The 21,460-nt window shown below is 37.9% G+C and overlaps 1 protein-coding gene across 27 annotated transcripts in view, besides 1 other annotated feature; it reads right to left on the minus strand.

Moving 5' to 3' along the window:
• Positions 1 to 21,460, minus strand: part of EBF1 (EBF transcription factor 1) — a 403,997-nt gene that overhangs the window by 356,429 nt on the left and 26,108 nt on the right. For 24 of the 27 annotated variants that reach the window (NM_001324108.2, NM_001324106.2, NM_001324107.2 and 21 more), the window contains exon 6: positions 21,048 to 21,116. The exons of 1 other annotated variant lie outside the window; for it this stretch is intronic. In NM_001324108.2, coding sequence (NP_001311037.1) covers positions 21,048 to 21,116 — 69 coding nt within the window. Of the gene's footprint in view, positions 1 to 430; positions 14,808 to 21,047; positions 21,117 to 21,460 lie in introns of those variants that run through there. 2 more of the 27 variants (XM_047416891.1, XM_017009200.3) reach the window with 1 other exon arrangement.
• Positions 6,764 to 8,142: an enhancer, noted in NCBI's record as "VISTA enhancer hs1022". NCBI's record gives its function as "enhancer in: neural tube[10/11] | hindbrain (rhombencephalon)[10/11] | midbrain (mesencephalon)[9/11] | dorsal root ganglion[8/11] | forebrain[6/11] | trigeminal V (ganglion, cranial)[10/11] | cranial nerve[9/11]" and the evidence as "EXISTENCE:transgenic organism evidence [ECO:0001131][PMID:17130149]".

The raw sequence follows: 21,460 nt of genomic DNA on the forward strand, positions 1-21,460 counted from the left end.
TAGAAAAAAAAAAAAAACCACAGCAAAAATACACACATGGATCTTTGTACCAGATTCTGTATTAAAAGATTGCTTGTCAGGTCCTATGACTACCTCCCCGAAGTCTGCTCTGTGGTTACAAGGTTTGGTGTTCAGTCCTCTGCAAATCAGTTCGGGGTTTCTCTAAATCTGAGCCACAGCCTGTCAAGATGATCCTTTGCAATACCAGCCTTTTAAATCCCACACTTTTGTTTTTTCTCCCTCGCTCTCAGAGGAATTGTCCTGCCTAGGTCAGCCATTCTAAGCTGGAATTCAGAGACTGGACGGATCCTTTACCATGAGAATTTGGAGCTGCAAACCTTCGGCAGAGCCCTGGGGAGGGATAATTGTTTTAGTGAAGCTCACTGCCTCCTCAGTGGTCCGTGAGACCCTGCTGAGCGTGGCTGCTTACCTTTGGCAGGAACCCAGGGCAGGTTCAGGAAACGGTTCCGTGTTCCTGCCCTTAGCTTTGTGTCAATGAAGCCTGGCACATCTTTTTTGTGGTTGTAATTTAAATGAGACAACCAACTGCACAGCTGTCTCGGTCAAATTATGCAGGGCCATGTGGCCTTTCTTCCATCTTTAAAAAGTCTGGGGCACCTCTGACCATGTTTGAAGGAAGCCCAGGGGAGCAATGACCAACAAAAGGAATAGCGATTACGCCAGCAAAGGATGGAAATTTGCCTAAATGAATATATTAAGGGCTGCGCTTAGAAAATGGAAATGTTAGTTTTTAAATAGAGGCAGAATAGTGTTATGATTAAAACCCTGATCTTTGGGGTCAGACACTGCAAGGTTGGCATCCCAGCTCCACCACTTAATAGCTATGTTGACGTTGGGCAAGTTATTTAACCAACTGAAGCCCCAGTTTCCTCATCTGTAAAATGGGAGAAATAAGAATACTCAGCACATAGAATTGCTGTAAGGATTAAATGAGAGAATACCCAGAATTCAGCTAATATGTGGCTTCATAAATGGTTAGTTATCATCAGTAATTACAGTAATGACAATAACACATAGAACATGCAAAACGCCAATGCCAGTCACTGCCACACCAGTCATCTGTAACCAAGAAAAGACTAATTTTACTCTGCCTCTGGCCCCTTATTTTACATATTACAGGGATTTATTCTTGCAGGCAAAACTAATGTGACTGAAGTTTCTATCATTCAAGTTTTATTTATTCTGTTGATCTGGCATTGGGTATTTTAACCCCTCTCTCCCTCTCTCTCTCTCTCTCACACACACACACACACACACACACACACACACCCCAGACATGGGAATGTGAGTATAAGCATCTGCATAGATGCACACTACACCAATACAAGCCAGCAGATATGCAGACACAAAATGAGTATATGTACCCCGGAATAAAAGGAACATAATTACCAACTTTATTTTGACAACTCTTTTCAATGATACCCAATTAGGCATTGCATGGCAAAAATAAACTCTTTAAAATACTGAAAGCACAACCCATTGTATATTTGCTCCTAAGGGCCCTTTAAAAGCTGAGGTTAAATTACCATCAGATGGCAAGAGGATAAGGACCTCGCCTTAGGGCACTTCCTTGGGATAAATGGCCAGTTCTTGTCCTCTTTGGAAGGGGTTGCTGGCCCAAAGCACCATGAGGCCAGTGACCCCTTGCTGGTCATTAATCGTTACCGAATTCCCTAGAACCAAGGTCATTATTGCTAATATAAACTTAAATAAAAATTCCAGAGACATATGGATTTCTTTTAATAGTTAGTCTTATTTCTTTGCTTTTTATAGGGCATTTCTATAGAATTAATGTTCTATACATTAGCTCTGTAGTTGGTTTGTCTTAACACTTGATCCTGCTTAAAGTAAAAGGTTTATTGGACCTAAAATAAGAAGCGAAGGAAAGCAAACAAAAAAACAGGAAATCCTGAAAGGGCCTATTCTGTACCTGGAATTCTCAGAAAAATCATTATCCATGGGACTCACAATTTTATTTCTTTGGAAACCTGTCAAAATATTATAATGTTTATATTTAACGGTTGGATAATTTAAAATTTAAAAAATAGAGAGAGAGATCTGGTTCCCATCCTGGACAAAGTTTTCTGTTTCTCAGTCTCTCTCTCGTCTCCTCTGCACATAGAAAAAAATTTTTTTCAAGATTTTATGAAATTCCAATTTCTTCAAGCTTAAGGAATATATACTGTATTGTCACTCACAAGCAAAGGATATTAGCAGAGCATATAATTTCATAGCTTCATTCCAAAGATGCTCAGCATTATTTGCCTTAAAAGGAATTATACACCCTAAAAGTACAGAAACAAAGTGGATATGCAGAAAATGAACAATTATTTAATGAGCATGTACTATGTGCAACTTAGTGTAGATTCTCTGTATATCAACATTAGGCTGCTTCATCTGGAAGACAAGTCTCAACCAGATTAAGAGACAACTTGAGGATGTTGCACAGGCAACCTCTGCCCACAACCTTTTGGGGTTACTATCTCACAGAGACAAATGTGTTGGTCCACGTGCCTCACATTTTACAAGCCTACAATTTTCTTTTTACTAGATCCCTTCCCCATCTTGCCCAAGTTATGCTACCAATAAATTTAAATATAACAACTCAATTAGCCTTGTAAGGTGCATCATCTAAAGATCTCACCCACTAGCTTCCTGCCTTAAGGTAGATTTTAGCAATAGACATGGGCTGTACCTGCTGCCTTATCTTCTTATTACCTGGCTGATCCCTTGGATGAGGTAAGGAAGAAGAACTGAAAGTTGATTGAGAATATTGTTGGTTATTCAGTTCTGACCTCTGTGAGGTTGCTATTTACCTTATAGTACATGCTACTTAAGCACATGTTTAATAATAGGTACTGTCCAATGTCAGATATGAGAGGTAACCAGATTTATAAGGGTAGAGAGGATTAAAGTCATTGAGAGAGGTAACCTTAAAGATCCTAAGTGTTTACTTCTCTCGTTCTATAAATAAGAAAGCTGAAATCCAGAGAAGTTAAGAGACACACAGACACAGAGGCTCACATATCTAAATAACAGCAGGGGCAGTACTCAAAACCAGGTCTCCTGTGTCCCAGTTCAGCATTCTACATGAGGTTCCTTCTCATTTCATAATGAATGAGAAGTCCCATATCAGAATGAGCAATTTAATGTGTCGAGCCTTTAACAGAACCAAAGCATGCTTTCTCCTTAACAGAAGAATATGCACAAATTTGGGTTCATATTAGAACTATTAGTACCTTGAAGATGAAAATTATTAGCATAGTAGGGAATTAACCTACACTAAATCTGATGAGTAGTGAATTACTTTAAATCTCTTTTTGGAGGTGGGACCTTACCCTGGGAATGGCCAGGTAATGGCAGGAGAAAGATGAATGGCAATGGATTTGGTGGTGATTTGGAAAAGAGAAAGAGATTCTACACCAAATCCAATTTCCTTAATAGGTGAGTGCCCTGGGAGGACCACAAAGTGCTTCTGGGGCAGTCCCCAATCTGGGATTGGGGGTACAACTTATTTTATATAGTAGATGCTTCACGAACATTTATTGAATAAATTAACATGCTGGGTCCTTTGTTTCTCCTGTCTGAGGTCAATGAACTCAACAGCTGCTTGTCCTCACCACCTCTGTGAATGTAAACAATGGTTTCTAAAGGAGAGACTAACCCTACATGAAACCATTTTTTAATAGGTTTAGCATGATTATCCTTTCTGGCTTCTGGTATCAAACTATTTGGGAGCAGAAAGGAATCCAGCCTGTTGAATGATTTATGACAATTTGGGAAGAGAAAAAGAGAAGAAAAGAGTATACATAAATTCAAAATTCCACCTTTTAAAATTAATTTTAGTGGATTGATACTGGGAAGAAAGATTTAGTTGGTTGACTACATTCAGTCATATATTTCTGTGGAGACGGAAAAAATTAAATTTTTCCAAATCAGCACAATCTTTTCAGCCAGACCAGATAGTCAAATAATTCAGAGGTGAAATAATTGTCACTTCCTCCTTTGCCCCATACTCTGAAACAGTACAGAAGCTGCCAACTCCCCACCTCTCCCTCTAGCTTACCAGGCGAATGAATGCCCCTTTGCCTTCTGGAATCATTCTCCTGCAGTTCAGCATGAGACTATGCCAGGGGCTAATAATTTCTCTCAGCACCATACCCATGACTTCTGCCCTTCCTTGGCAATTCCAAATGTGTGACAAACCTCTTCGGGCTTAGGCAAAACTGTACACAAAAGTGGTTTGAGTAGGAAGAAATACAGTGTACTTTTTTCCCCTTTCACTACAATTTTTTCAGAATTATATTCTGCAACAATGCCTCACTTCCTTTATTATTATTTTTGGAAAGGGTACTTTCAATTTGTTTAGGTTTAAATAAAAGAAAAATTTTATTAAGACTTACTTTGAAAATTGCCAACGTCAATATTTATGTATGTCAGTACCTTCCAGAGAAAGATAATAGTCAGAGACAACTGCTCATGGTAAGACATCTGGAATAGAAAGACCTTTTGTAAAATTCCTACTGAAAGATGACTATTGATGAAATACCTCTGGCAAACAAAAACAAAAATTGCAATTTGTCGCACGGTGTTATATGACATAGTATGAACAAGCACAGTTGCAAATAAATGAAATATGTGGGCTTTTAAAAATAAAGTAATATTTTATGATGGGATATTCTGTAGCTTCCTCCTCCCTGTGACTGTTATAATTTCTTTCTTTTCTTTTCTTTTCTTTTTTTTTTTTTTTTTTTTGAGATGGAGTCTCACTCTGTCACCCAGGCTGAAGTGCAATGGCACCATCTTGGCTCACTGCAACCTCCGCCTCCTGGGTTCAAGTGATTCTCCTGCCTCAGCCTCCTGAGTAGCTGAGATTACAGGCATGTGCCATCATACCAAGCTCATTTTTGTATTTTTAGTAGAGACGAGGTTTTGCCATTTTGGCCAGGCTGGTCTCGAACTCCTAATCTCAGGTGATCCACCTGCCTCAGCCTCCAAAAGTGCTGGGATTACTAAGCATGAGCCACCGCGCCTGACGGACTGTTATAATTTCTGAGAAACAATTTAACTTGTGCTCCGTGCACAATGCTAGGCCTTGTTAGAGATACAGGACTTAGGGGCTTCCTTGGACCCAAACCCAGAAAAGACACGTTGTACCCTTCCCTAAGGCTGATTGCACACAAGGTGAAATGGAGAGCAGAGCAGGACCCAGATGGCCCAGAGTAGTAGTAGAAAAGCCACTGGAACCAGAGCCAGGGACTTGGCTTATGGTCCTGGCTCTGAGACTAATTAGGTCTTTGGGCAACATTGCTGTGCTTCTCTTGGCCTCAGCTTTCTCATCTTTAAAATGAAGGGGCTGAACTGTAATCTCTGAGAGTCCACTCAGCTTAAATGGAATCGTGGTCTCTTCCTACAGGAATCTAGATTTTTTGGAAAACCTGCCTTTGGGATCTAGCTAGGCTATGTATTAGCGTTCTTAAGCTATTCATTCTCCATATTTGTGAAATGATACAAAAAAATCCTGCTTACCTCACTGTGTTGTCATGAAAACTAAAAAGAGCTGAACCCATGTGAGATCTTTATGTCATTCCCTCGAAGAGGTATGTGAATGATAGAATTAAAGTGCTAGCCTTCCCTAAGTTTTGTATGTCTTGGTATACATTGAAGGTTCTTAGCTAAAGGGATGAGATTCTGACAGTGGAATTCCAAGCATCAGCCAGAATTGGGTGGGAAAACCTTTCCTGCATTCTCATGAGCTCTGCAGATAGTCTTTATTGTTTTTAAACCCAGCCGTTTAATCAGACCTCAAGGAGGCTTTTCTATTGGAGCTTACAGACTTGTCCAAACTAAAAAGAATATCTAAACCTGGAGGAGGGGGATGTAGGAGGGAGAATGAGTAAGAAAATGTTTTGTTAATGAATAAAGATCCTGTATTTCATTCCTGAAAGCTCTCACTTTGCTTTAGGACCATCAGCAGAAGCACAGAGCTAGCTTAATAAGCTGTAGGACGTGAAAAAGTCACTGGTAGGTCCAGGGAAGTTCTCAGCTGAAGGGGACCCTGGGGAATTGTCCAGTCCACCCCCAGCCCTACCTTGCAACCAGACAAATGAAGCTGTCTGCTAGAAAATCTGGAGATACCCTTTCACATTTCCACAATGACAAAGTTGTGTGTGGGAGTCCCCAGGAATCATTTATAACTGAAAGAAAAGGAAAAGCCACCTTCAAACTCCAGTTCCAATAGACCTGAGATCTTTCCGGAAACCCAAAGGAACTGCCTCATTTGGTTTTCCCAGAGAATATGAACAACAGATCAAACTAATCCAACCTAGTGGAAGAAGGATCTGTAGAGTTTGGGCTAATTTCTTAGTAATATTCAGCTGCAGCCACTTCCCTTCTGTTTAATTTTCACGTATCTTAGTGCTTGAATTCGTAATTCATACCCTTGTTTTGAATTCCCACTACCAACAGATTCCATAAGGCCATTCATGTCAAACACCCTCCAAACAGTTCCAAGAAAAGGACTGAGCTAGAATTCTTTTCTGAACAGTCAGAGGGGCTATGGACCTGGTTTATATGAGTAGCATGTTCTCATAACCCCCAAATCCTTGACAGACATTCCAGGGACATGGCCACTTCTGCCATGTAGCCACCATTTCAATCAGGCCTCCTCAAACAACTTACTCCTAATTTCTACAATATGTAGGTGGCAACTGTAGCCCAACGGGTGTCCGTAGATACAAACCAAAGCTGGCTAAAACCATGTCTGGAAAGCTGACAAATTTCCAGGCAATCTACCCTGAGCAGCAGACAGAAATAAAAGAGCTGGTAAGAAGAGAAACAGACATATAATATAACAGAGTTTCCTGAAATTCATTATACCAAACTTCCAGGATAGATCAAGGAATTGGACCTAATTCTGCCCTGATTATTTTGGGTATGTCATTATCAATGTTGCAGAAACATTTTTAAGCCACTGTCTATCAACAATTTGATGAAAAAAAAAAAACTAACATTTCACGAGTAATGTTGAGTGCACAGTGATTTTGAAAGAATCACTATTAGTAAACTAAACAGCACTCTAAATAAAGAAAATGACTGCTGTTAAGACATACTGTCTGAGAATTCTCAGGAAGAACACCACAACGCTAACTCTGCTGTATATAAGAAATTATTCCAGTATGCATTTGAGTAATTCTGCATTTTAATTTAACCCTTTGAAACATTAATCAAACCATGGCTAATTATAGGAATTAAGGAATTAAACGATGGAATCTTCTAAAAGATATTATTTAAAAGGCAGTTTATACAATTACTTGTATAGATGTTTGCTTTAAAGAGGAAAACAGTTCTACTGTAATGAAAAGGGTCTTAGAAAATTAAATTAACAAGGGGGGACCAGGCTGATATGAAACTAAATTAGCATCAAATGCAAATTACAGGGTACTTAATGGTAGAAACAGGTGCAGAGAAGAACCCTAAATGAGATAAATGAATAAAACATCCCTCTCCACAAATGTGGAAGCTGACACAAAGTCAATGATATGAATAATTCAGCAGCCTCCACACTGCTGTTGAGGTCAGCCTGCCTTGACCTTTGAAACAGGAAGTAAAATTCAGTTCAAATTTGAGTGACTAGAAATATAACAGTCATTTGTTTTTTATATTAAAAAATCAACAGAATTTTTTAAAAATACAAATACAGAAAATATAAAATAGAATTACAGTTTGAACTAGAGACATTATACAATCAAAGTACTTAGTAAACAAACAAAATAATTTGATAAGATTTTACCCAAACCATACTTCAATATGGAAATCCTAAAAATAAAAATAATTAAAAACATATATACCAGTGCTCAGCTTAATGAAACTCCCTGTGAGAATAAATTTTTAAATCGTTATCCTTTCTTCAAAGTATTTTGTTGTGTTGCTATCAATGTAAAAAAAGCATGTCATAATTTTTAAAAGCCACATATTCTTATTAGTAATGCAAAATAATTTCTCATATTTGAAAGATAAAATTTGGTTAAACTAGATTTTTAAAAATCTATGTAAAGTTGCTATTTTTTAATTCTTCAATTCCTGATTGAATAAATACTGCATCCTCCAAAACTATTCACCTTAGAAAAATGCAACCTAGGTTCTAAAAACAAACTATTCTCATAACCGAATATCTATTGTGGTTTTACGTGTCTTTTATCCTTTTTTTTTCTTTTTGCATGCTTCAAAAGTATTTTGTACAGTCAAATAGTGAAAGTACTCTCCTCATTTCAAATTGAATTTAGTGCTGTTAGAGATTAACAGGGTATGACAACAAACCAATTTCTACAAGCTAGAAAGACAGCAAAATATATATGGTATATCACCCTCGTCCTTATTTTACAGGATGGCATAAAAGATGTTTGATAATAGCAGTTATCTCTGCCCTCCAATTGGTTCTATTAAGGGGACCCACAACTTGGCTATCTACCTTTCATCTATCTACTGTGCTTGTCAGATAAAAGATTATGTTGAAAGATGAGCTTAATTTTATTTTCTAGATTTAGAGAGGGTTAAAGCTACATACACACACACACACACACACACACACACACACACACACATACCCCTCAGCCATCTATGAGAGAGCAGTGGTAAACTAGGTCTATGATTGTAATCACTGTAGGAAGAAGTTTGAGAAATGTTCCTTCCAAACCGGAGTGTTTAGTTGAGGCAAAATTAAAGATGCAGGGTGTGCTGGGTATTTCTTAATTATTATTATTATTATTATCATATCTGCTAAATCACTCCTCGCTCGACATTTAATACAGGGTGATAGACAAAACACTGCTGATTTGGGGTTTGCCATAATGACTGACCTGAGCAAAGGCTTTGTGTACAAAGTGGCTCCCCATTAAATAAGGGCTCTGTGGAACCAGCTGGTTCTCATTTTGAAACAACCGGTTTCTGTATCCCCAAGTGCTAAAGAAAATAATCCCTGCCATCTATGACTGCACACTTTCACAGAGGCAGCAACGAGAATTTGATTGTGGAGATAATTAAAGTCATTCCTGGAACTTCCAAGAAAAAAAAAAAGGTGGAAAGAGGTGGGGTAGAAAGAAAGAATAGTCAATGATAGTGTTTAAAATTAAACTATGACAAATCATTTTGAGTGGAGAAGAGGGAGGAGGAGCCCCCGCCCTTTATGGAATTCAGTTGAAACAGCTCTGTTTTCTTCCCCACTCGGCTGCTCCAGAGGGAGGTCCGAGATGCGATTAGTCAGGGCGACGGCCCCCAGTGTCCGGCTCGGAAGCCGAAGAATCGAAACATGGCTCAAGAAGCTACTTGTCACTGATGACACATCACAATGAGATTGTTTTGTTTTTTTTTTTTTTACGTTTCAATCCTAAATAAAATAGCCGCGGAGGAATCTAACTGGACTCTTCAACAAACATTCTTTCCTAGTTGATCTGAAATGCTGAGGTTAGTTTAATATAATATTAAGAAAAAAAAGAGTGTATCAGACATTCAGAGACACTCATCTTTCAATCTTGAGGAGAGCTTATTCTTTTATTATTTTTTGAATGCTACATTGTTCTACAATAAGAATCCATGTTCAAATAGCCTGAATGACATTCAGCTGAACCTACGTTCCCTGCCTGCCTACATTATTTCATAAGCTTTTGGGAAAAAACTAAAATATGTGTAATCTGTCTGTCTGCGCTATCTGCCTTTAACAGGAAGAAGAGATGGGCTCAATGAGGACGACTCACGGCCTCTCAATTAACCTGATTAGTTCAGCACATTGCTCTCATGAATGACACCTTATCTTAAAATAAGGGAGAACTTCCTTCCTCGAGTAGACACAGGAGCCCCCTAAAGCCACAAAGATGCAGCCTATCAAATGTGAGGGCCTCTGCTTCTCCTCCCTCTTCCCAGCTCGCAGGTCAGAGAGACTAGCAGGCCAGGCGCCTGATTGGATTTTGTGTCCTAAGGACAGAAGGCAAGCTCCCGTCTGCCCAGGTGGCCTTGGAGAAGGCTGGGGAAAGGGATGCCCTGTGGGTAACTTCAAGCCCCTTCTTTCAGAGTCAACCAGGCACATGATGGGATTGGGGGTGGGGGACAGGAAGATTGGGGAGGGGGAGGGAGGGAAAGAGAATTCATTAACCCTTCAATCTCCAGAGTATCAGGTCAATGCTATACCTGCCTGAAAGAAAAACTGGTGAATTCTGAAGTCTTCTAATAGTATATAAAACAAAGGCGCTGCTTGCACAGGGGTCTTTCTAACACTGATTTCGCGTTTGACATAATAGAGGATGGCTGAATTTTTGCCCTGCAAAAATCAAGCCTTCTCCCAAACTCTCTGAAATCTGGTGGTTTGCAAAGGATGCCACATATATATGTTTTTACAAAATAAGAAATTCCCATTATCATGTGTAATACACATAGTTAATAGAATATATTCTTGAAAATATGCTTTGTGAGAATGTCAACAGCAGAGATTTTCACTTGTCTGCTCTGTGATTTACTTGATCAATTAAACAGTTAGGCAATGAGGAGATTTGCATGGTAATCGTGTGAAGATTAACATTTTTAAGTGTAACAAATTTAATATTTTATCTTACATTTTCTGTTCCTCATCATTCTTTAATGGCAGTGCCATTTCACTTTATTGTGTAGTTATAACAAGCTTGTCTTTAGACAGAGAGATGAGACCACCAGATTCAACAACTGCATTTCTAGTTCCTGTCATTCCTTCTTTTCACAAAAACAAGCCCTAAGCATCTAGTACACAGGAGGGAGGCACTGTGCTCAACGTAGTCACTGCCCTCTTAGGCTTACAACCTACCCTCCAAAGCGCTCATCTACCTGCCTGTGCTCAGCAATACCACAAACAGCTAAAATTAGAATTCCATAGTTGGAAAGGGTCTTAGAGATCTCTTCCTTCAGTCTTAACCAACATGTAGACTGCCTCAGAAGAGTGCAATAAAGCCGTGGAATTTGCCCAAGTTCGATACCTCTGGGTATGAGCTAAAAGGTGACTTTAACCCGGGGATATTTTTCTTCTGCATCATGATCCCAGTGTAAAATGGCATTCTTCTATTTTTAAAACATATATATCAATATATTCTTTGTTTATACTTGCTATTACTATTCCAACTATTTTTGGGGGACTGGGGGCAGAGATCAACCCTGAGACACTGAGAAAGCTGCATGAAGCCAGGAACTATGTTTGTCTTTTTCACTGTTATACCCCCAACCCTGAAAACAGTGCATGACATATAATAGAGGCTTAATAAATATTTGTGGAAACAAAACAATGAATGAGTCTTTATCTAAGGAGACTTAGCTACCATGATTAACTTCAGTAAGGTAATTGTGCTCAAAGGAAGTCCCATGGCAATGATCACATTAAGAATGAAAATCCACATGGAATATACGATGCTCAAATTGCAAGAGCTACCTGATTTTAAGCACCTGTTATGTGCCAAGCCCAGTGCTAGGTGTTTCAATCCTCACAACGCTTCAAAATAGAAGTGACTTTTCCCATTTTGAAGATGAGAAAACTGAGCCCCCTGAGGCTCAGCTACTAATAAGTAGCTGTGGAGGAACTGGATCCCTTAGCCAATGCACTCCAAAATCTATGCCTTTGCCATCATACTGTGCCTTCTCCCAGATTTCTGTATGGATTACTGATGTTTTTTTCAAGCAAATACACAATCAAATTAAATGAGGACATAAGAACTCAAACATTGCTCCAGCAATGAGTACAATAAACAGTGTCACATATGTATATATGCATATATGTGTGTGTATATATATGTGTTTATATATATGTGTGTGTATATATACATATAAAATCCTGAAAGTTAATTGTGACATCAACTAAGAAAGCTGGCTTGGTAAATAGGTTTAGAGTAATACATGAAAATGTGCTGTGGATAGCAAGAAAAATGAAATAAAAGAGACATTATGAAATACTGAAAACAGTGTTTTTAGCTGAGCAATTGAGAAAAGGGAAAAAAATCAGTCTGGGAGATAGGAGATGTGGAGTTTCTAATCACTTGCTTTGTCACCAATAAAGTGGATAGTTCCTTAGGCTGTGTGCCTCAGTTTACAGATCTGTCAAATGGAGTCAATTTGTGCAAAGAGAATTTTCTGAGATGGTATACCCCGACGTGCTCTAAAACGCTGGAAGTGCCATTTAGGTGTAAGCTACTATTAAACTCACAGTGATCAGGGGTTTTGCTTGCTTTGTTTTAAGGTGCTCATAGACCAGGATTCAGATGCTGGTCTTCACGAGCCAGATCAGGGCACTCCCATTTCTACAGCTACAGGAAGAACAACTCAGTGTTTAAAACCATATTCTGAGACATATCCCATATATCTAACATTAGAATCTGGCTTTAGGAAAACAACAAGACTGTGTAGAGAAACATGGGTTTTCAACTGTTGGTAACAGCTTCAAAGATAACCAGGTGAACCCTTAACCAACTTTCTTTTCTAAAGAACTTTTTAAAAAATGAAAAAGAGACTGCTCTCTTTTCATCTTTTTTTTTTTTTTTTTTTTTTTTTGGTCTCTGTAGAGTATGTGCGTGTGTGTATGTGCGTATGTGTGTGGTGTGTGTAGCTAAACCTGATGCAGGTCCATAGTTCTTCAAATTAACTTTCCATTCTGTGAGGGGGCTTCAGCCAATAGTGCACCCAAGAGTGTTAAAAGTGATATTTTCAGATATTACTAACAGATCAGAATACTTATGAACGAGAAGCACATTAAAAACAGGTGGGGAAAATCTCAGTAGTTTACCTCTGGAAAACAATAAATAAATTGCAAGCAGCATGACTGTCTGATATTCAGGTGGAGTAATAAAGAGCTTTAGTCAAATCATGGTTGCTTCAGGAAGGTGGAGGAGGGAACAACCTTTTGACCATTAGAAAAGTTACCCAGCTGGGCTCCTGACTCCTCGGCATGCACCAGCAGAGTCTAAGTCGCGTGCACCACCCGGCAAAGGCGGAGAATTCACGGCACTGGCGGGGAGCAGCACCACATCAAAAAGCAGCAGCTGATGTCATGAAACAAAATACCCTATCATTTTACTTTGATAATTTTCAATTCATCAATTAAAAAAGAAAAGAAAAAAAGTTATTTCAGCCTTGAAGATGTCATGTCCTGAGCCCCAGTGTTCACACCCTACAGAAGGGCTCTTCCTACCCACACATGGTATCAATATTAAGTTAATTGAGCAGCAAATGAGCAAAAAAGTTCTTGAGGGATTCTTGATATTGATTAAAAGGACATTAAAAAAAAAACCCACCACAACCTTTACATGAACCAAAATTTGAGAATGTCGCCAAAGCCCCATAAAATATGTATAATAGTGACAGTGTCCAGATTAAAAATGTACATGGGCAGCTTGATTACTATTTTCTGGTTTTTTCCCTGCCCTGGCTCTGAAAGTGTTAAAGAAAACAATAAAAGAACAAGTGAGTGTACAGGGTAGGATTTACTGGCATTTACTTTTAATCTATGGCCCTTCACTCTGTAGCTTATCGGGCCTCTGTCAGTCCTTTTTCCCCCTTTATATTTCATGAGGAGCCCCCCATGCTGCTACTGAGAGACAGAGCCCAAGTGTCTATGAGCTTTTTGTCAGGTAAAAAGAGAAGAAAAAGGAAAGGAACAAGAGGAAAAGCAAAGCTAAGAGGCATCTATTAGATGTCACTAGGCTTTTGTATTCATGTCAATGATTCAGGATTAGAGTATTTGAAATAATCTTATTGAGAGGAATCAAAAGGCCCACCGAGTGAGAGGCTGCTCTGTAGCATATGGCAAAGGCACGAACAATATCTTATTAAAGATGTGTTGGCTAACACCATTACTTTATATTATATTACAAAACTATTGTGCCTCAAACAGTTAGCAGGATGGTATAGTTACCAAGTGCCATTTTGGAGGTTATTGTGTAGGATCAATCTATATAATTTGCCAGCATGTCTAGCTCAGTCATGACAAGTAGGGTTTAGGGCATGTTTGCAACTGGAACCAAGCACTTCACTTTCAAAAATAGAAATTCCCAAAGCACACAGAAGACCACTCTGTTCCCACCGAAAGTGGAGTACACATTTCATAGATGGAACGCCAATGGCCTGTCCTTCCCCAGAATCAGTTTAATTAAGTTTGCATCATTTAACATATGTGACACCCCCTGCCCCACCCATGAAAAATGTAACAAAGATTTTTTTTTTTTGCATGACTCCCCTCCCTATTAGGAATACATGCACAGACACACACACACACACACACACACTCAGCTTCACACTTTAGCAGGATTAGGGCAATTAAAATTCTATTAGAATAAGTACTGTAACGTTAAAACCTTCTTTTGCTTCTGGACAAAGACTTGTAACTGGAGAAATAGTTTGTAAGGGAGATTTTTCTTCCTCTACCCACACCTTTCAAGGCAGGGAGCAATGAAAGACAAACCTGTACTGTTCACCATATTTCATTGATTGCAATAGGAGTATTGAGGTCACTTTTATATTGTCCTGGATAGTATGTAGTTACGCGGTTTGTAAAGAGAGGAATGGGATGGGGGGCTGTGAGAAGGAAGAATTAGTGGTCGATTTCAGATAACATCTCATGCAAATTAAAGTGACCAAAATACCATCTCTTTACGCAGGAACCACTAAATGGAGTTTTTTAAATCTGGTCAATTTTTATTAGAGAGTTAACCGGGTGCTGGCAGGAGAGGGAAATGAGGAAATGAGGGGAATTTATCAATGGAGAGTTACACTTGGAGAGAGTTTTTCCCCCCATTCTAAGCAACTTCTTTTAGGAAAGTAAAAGCATGTTTAATATACTCATATATTCTCATTACAAAATGATTGTGCATAGTTACTAATGGGACACACAGAGGACTTCGTACTGCTTTTCTGTATTTTTCCAGAACTGTTACAAAAGCAAAGTTATGATGACATGGGATTAAAAACCTACACCACGGGCTGATACCCGGGCCATGCTACACATACACACTACTGATTCTCTGAAGCTCCGTTAAATACATTTCTTGGAAGTTGCTGCCATTATTTCCTTTACAGGAAAACCACTGTTGTTCATTATACAGTGTCTGCAATAGTATTATACCATGTAAAAGTACTTTGCATTATGATACATTGTCAGCGTATTCGAAATGCATTTTAATGCATCCTGGTTGTGTATTTGGGAATAGCTGATAGCAAATGGAATATAGACTGCGATTAGCTTATTGTATTAGTTATTTTCTTATCACGGTAGCAAACTGCACACAAATGTACGGGGCTCATCTCATATTCAGAATGGTATTATCTGATATGTGATAAAATTTAGAATGATACTCATTCACATAAGTCTCATCGCTAATAATCACATATGAATTCCCACTGAGAAGACAAATGTTTAAACACACTAAGGTTAATAAACAGTCTTAAATTCATGCTCAGTGTCAATGCTGGCTTTTCACTTTTGAAAAAATGCAAACCTCTCAAACCAACCAAAAACACAATAATTATCCTGCCTAGGGCAATTTTAGAGAGTGAATTCCTCCTCCTTTTATTTTAACCAAGCAGTCAAGGTTACAAATCAGGTGGTATAAAAGGTTTATCGGAACGCTGAGAAATGCATTTACACCTCTGGTTCTTCATACCCCACACAGCCATTTGTGTATAGTGCAGAATGATTATGCATTGGTGGTGGTTGGTCCTTCTAAAAACTGGATGAAGACCAAAATAAGAAGAGTTGAAAGGGCATTGAAATGAAATCATGAAACTAACTAAAAGCCTCATTTGCAACTTTAATAAAATTATATATTTATGTTCATGTTAATTGAGGACTTTATGTGGATGACAAAAAATAAATAAATATTGGAATTTACCTCTGATTATAAAAGACAGAGGAAAGCCATTGATTGTTGAAAGGCCCAGATGCCTTTACAATCCTTGGCAAATACATACCACACCCGACCCAATGGTAAAAAGTATGTGGGTGGGTGGATGGATGGATGGATGGATGGATGGATGGATGGATGGTTAGATAGATAGATCTCTCCTAACTCTAAAGTTTTTATATTGTTTTCCTATTATACATATGGGCATATATGTTATATAAATACATTGGTGTCAATTTAATGAAGAAAATTAGCTTGGTGATAAGGCAACACTGCACTTTTCTGAAAAGTCTTACCACAGAATTTACACCTCTTAGAAAAAGAATGAGTCTTCAATAAACTTGTTTATCTGAGCAACCATAACATGGTTAAGCTTTTCCGTTCATATGATGTACATCATATAAAATCAACAGGCAAATGGGCATTCTAATATTTTCATTACTGAACATTCTATTTCAGATAATCATAAAACAAACCCAATTCGTGTTACCTAAATGGAAGTGATCTAGATGTGGAAGATCTTTAGACAAATCTGGAAAAAAGAAATACAGGCATTTTTTTCCTTTATAGGAGACCCTTGCGTAAGTGTGACCCGAAGTAATTCCAAACAGACTAGGTTTTTCATTTTACAAAATTTGTGTATTTTTTTTATGTCACATGTCAAGGCCTACATCCCATAGCCATACACATAGATACAGGAATTCTTAAAAATGGGGGAAAAAGGCATGGTAATTCTGTTAATATTACAATAAACAAACTCAAAATTCTTACAGGTACATAAGTTGACAAGCTTTTAACATCCAAGTTTTAAATATCGGCTTTGAGGAACCCAAAACTTTTAGGTTACTGGAGCTACATTATATCCTTAAAAAACTAGGTCTAAATTCACACCAATAGGAGAACATAATTTGAGATGGAATTTCATCCTTTAGTATTTCTATCTACTAAAAAAAAAATCCACTTGTTAACAGATAAGGATTCATTGCACAAGGAATGATGCTCACATTGTCACCCTTACTTAATGGTTCATTTCATCAATTGCACTAATTCTAAATTCAAACAAACAAACAAACAAACAAACATTAAGCTGCCCCCTATCCCACCCCACTGCAAATAAGCAACAGAAATCTAGCCAGAAACTTCAGGAGTCTGTGTGAAAAGAAGCCTCCAGCATACTTTGGAGAAAGAAATGTTTTTATAAGACCATCTGTATTCATCCATGTCATTGCTCAAAGATAGTTTAGGAAAATAAAGAGTTTGGGGAAGCAAATTAAGAATGAATGGTCATCCTAACCAGATATGGAATAACAGTCTGCATACTTAATATATTCAGTTCCGACATTTATTAAAAAGTTTCCATATAGAAAGATTTTTTAATAGATGCAGAAAAACTGGGTTCCCAATTCAGACTACCCTATGTGACTTTTGTCATTATCATCTTTTCTGATTCTTACAAAGTAAACCTAATTAAGAACCTCCCTCATTAGTCTTCCAGAAAAATTAGCACAGCTTATGCTAATTACTCCTGCAAAATTTAATAAACTCGTTGAAATGGGAATAGTCTAATGAGGTTTTATTTATTGAACTAAGATAACTCCAAGGAAAAAGGTTAGGACACAAGGATATCCAATGTGGTAATAAAACTCCTATTTATTCAATTTCTAAACATGAAGTTTATTGCAAACCTTTTAAATTCAAATATTAGTTACTGTGTCAATATGTAAAATCAATCTCCACCTTAATTCAATAACTGGAAGTCATTTTTTGCTTTTTACTTTAACAATAATTACCACACATAGCCCTTTACCTCAAAAATAATGAAATCTGCTGTTATCAGTTCCTGGTTATTTGCTATTAAACATAACACATTTGACTTTTCCCATGTCTATGCAGCTCAAATATCTGGATCACTGAGTGCAGGCTGGGTTATGTGCTTCTTAATCAAGCTATTTGGCACCACACAGAAATGTAACCTGGCATTCAACTCCAGATGTGCACTTCCTGCATTTACAGCAATTTTTCTATAAACTTTTTTGAAGTGACTTGACAAATTGTCATGATTGTAAAAAGAATTGGGGTCATATGTTTCTCAGTCTGTGCATGCCATAAGGATGAAGTATAATAGAAGCCCCTTTTCTAAATCACAGTTTGCAACTGCTGATTTTGTTAATTCTACTTTTTTGATAGAATATGCCAGGCTGATGTCCCAAAGTCAGTGGCAGCAAATAATACAGCCAAAATTTAACACAGAAATAGCTTGCCCTGCACGATTGCACTATGACCAGAAAGTCTCTTCTCTCTACCCTATAAATAGTTTTCCTGAATAAACCACTGCTAAAAGTCTTTTGACTGATAAAAATAGTAGTGTTCTCCCAAATTCCGAAGGACAAGCAAAGAGAGCTAAAAATTATTGGTGCTCAAAAGTTGACTGCGTGTTAAAACTATGCTAAATCCTAACGCAAGGATGGCCTGTACCCTCAGCTCTGTAATTGCATATTGTATGCATCTTTTGAAAACAGTTACTATTGCTACTGAATGCAGGCCTCATAGCCTATTTTCACAAAATATTCAGGGATTTGCATCCATAAATCTGAAAGCAAATCAAACCCTAAGCACGTAACACAGATATTATGCAATCAGTAATATAGAATCAAATTGGAAACTATGAAATTCAAACACGGTTGCCATCATTTTTTCCCCTTTGCAGCAATTTTATGGAATTGAAAAATCTTTTCTATTTTGCCCTTTCTTGCATAAGTTCTTCTCTTGTTGTTATTCTCTTCTCTCGCTGTTAAGAATGGGAGTTTCACATATCAGCACAGACAGGACTGGAGCTTTTAAAACCTTTGGCAGCCTGAAGGACAAATAAATTCTGAAAACTCAGGTGCAAATAAAAATAGCTAAATGGGGTTTTGCATATCAACTGGCATCACTGCATGAAAAGATAGTTCATCAGAAACAATGGCAACAGCCAGCGAATAAACATATGCTGTGGGGCTTGTGCACATACACTGAGTTTCAGCTGTTTTTAAAGTACTCCTATCTGAAGAGACCAAGATTGGCTACACACTGTTTTCTACTTTGTCAAACCAAAAGGGAAAAAAAATGAAAAGGATAAATGTCATGAGTAATATCCCCAAAGCCACCAACAGCATAAAGTGCATACTTATTTTGCCTAAATTGTTTGAACTACCCCAGCCAAGAAAAGGTTTTAAGTACCCTTCTGGGACAGATGCAAAGCGGCAACAATAGAAGCCACACTAATGCAATCCAGGTAACACAATCCTGTTTCAAAAACAGGGGCCGGGCTAATTACAGTGCTGCTGAGTCAAGTTTCTTATGCCATCGCAACCCACAGGAACAGGTCAAAATCAAATGTTATTCAAACCACAGTCATATCAACCTTCTATATCAGAGTCACAGCTTCAAACCAAACGAAGAACTTAAAAGCTTAACCCATTCACAAGCGAAAAAAAAAAAAAAGTCTTTTCATTGAGGGTGGCAAGGTAAGGTTCTTGTCATCATCTAAACCAAAAGGAACTACATGGCAGAACAAAATGCTTATAGTTTCAAAGTTTTGGGGACTATTTGGGCTGGTCCTTTGATCCGTACACTTTCTTTTCAACAGAGGAGGAAGAAAAATGCTTAAAATAACAAATGATATTTTGGAGAGGTAAATTTAAATAAAACAAACCAGCATAAAGGTTAAATTTACTTGTGACCTTATTCATTTGGAGACTTATGTTCAATCACAGAAAAAGCAACTATATGAACAGTATATCTGCTTTTGTAGATAAACATGTTATCCTAATTCTATAGGTAGCACACACATCACCATATGTCAAACTTTCTCATCTTTTAACTTTGAATCAAATATACTAATACTCTTATATGGAGCAAAAATATATATATTTTAGTGAATACTAGTGAGGAATATTTAGTTAAAATATCTGATTGAAATGTAACCTTTATAAAGCTTCTTGGCAATCAATTGGGTTTATGCCTGAAGACTCACATAAGTCAAAATCAACAATCGATCTTTTGGCATAAATTATGTTGAAGCGAAGTAAACATCTTGTTTTTTGTTGTTGTCATTGTTAACTGAAAAATGATAAAACAAGCCCAAAAAAGGTAGAAAGAAAGATGGGTTTTTTTTTCTTTTGTTGTTGTTGTCAAAAATCAATATTGCTGAAACCCAAAAAGGGACTTGTGTTCAACCATTGGTTTCCTCAATGAGGGATCGGTCAGTCTTATTGGCAAGACTCTTTTTCCAGCTAGTACAAGATGCTAGCTCTTTTCCTAGCTGACAATTGACAGTATCTATAAACCTTCCAGGCCATTTAACTCTCAATGAGTAATGCTATGTAACAAATGGTTTATCATACATGTTTCCATACAATGAATTTCAATAATTAAAATGTAAAATGAATATTTGGAATGCGACTTTGCATAATGCGTGCACACTGACTCAAAATTACACCGAACAACTAAAACAGATTTATTGTTCTACGGTGATTTACTTGGTCATGTCAGATTAGTAATATGGATCTGTTTAAAAACACAAAAATTAAGACAAGCAGGATAAATTAATCAACTTACAATATGGTCTCATACTGCAATCAAATCCGGCAAATAACAGTAGAAAATCTTGGTTCACAGATCTCTTTAAACTGCTTTTATGCATAAATAAAACCTTAAAGTGTAGATGGATTACGTCCAACAGAACTACTGTAGCTAAAAGTGATAATGATTCAAACATTTTTCAAATAAAAGTTAAATATTTATAAGCACCCAACCACATTTCATAAATCACAAACTATTATTATTTTATTTCTGAAGCTTCCTGGCACAGCATGAGGATTGAGCCACAGAAAGTCAGGAAAGAAAAAATATATTCCTTTAGGAGCATGAATCAGACAAAAACCGGAGCAATCCAAGGAACAGGCCTCTAAAAGAACATTCCATATGGCTTTCCCAGGAATCAAAATCGCTCAGCACAGCGTAAGTCATGACCAACAGGCAAATTTCAGCCACATGCATTCCTAACCCTCGCCCATGAGCAACACAAGGGCAGGTGTTTCATTATAATGAGGAATAAGAATCCAGTGAAAGAAGAGTGGTCCCTACCTGTCAATTATCACTGGATCTGAGGGAGTCTCATTTCGGTTGCCACAGCTTTTCTTGTCACAACAGCGGCTATGGAGCAAAAGCGAAAGGATTTAGTACAACCATTACAATGTAAAATCATCATTTAGGCAGACAGAAGGCTCAAATTGCTGGGTTGCAAATGCTAGAATTACCACAAAGCCATACCTGGCAATCAACGGATCCCTGGGACAGATAATTCTATTTGGGTCACCTATGGGTTAATGGCCAGGCTTAACCTCTCCCTGCTCAAAGAAGGAGGTGGGGGAGAGGGGCTCTCCCAGAGCCAAGACTCAGAACCCCAAGATGGGGTCTCCCCATGACTGCCCGCGGTGCTGGCAGAGTTCACTGTGAAGTGCACTGTTATTGCATCTACCCAATGAGAATATTCAAGG

Source organism: Homo sapiens, chromosome 5 (genome assembly GCF_000001405.40).
Source record: "Homo sapiens chromosome 5, GRCh38.p14 Primary Assembly".
In the NCBI taxonomy this organism is placed as follows: Eukaryota; Metazoa; Chordata; class Mammalia; order Primates; family Hominidae; genus Homo; species Homo sapiens.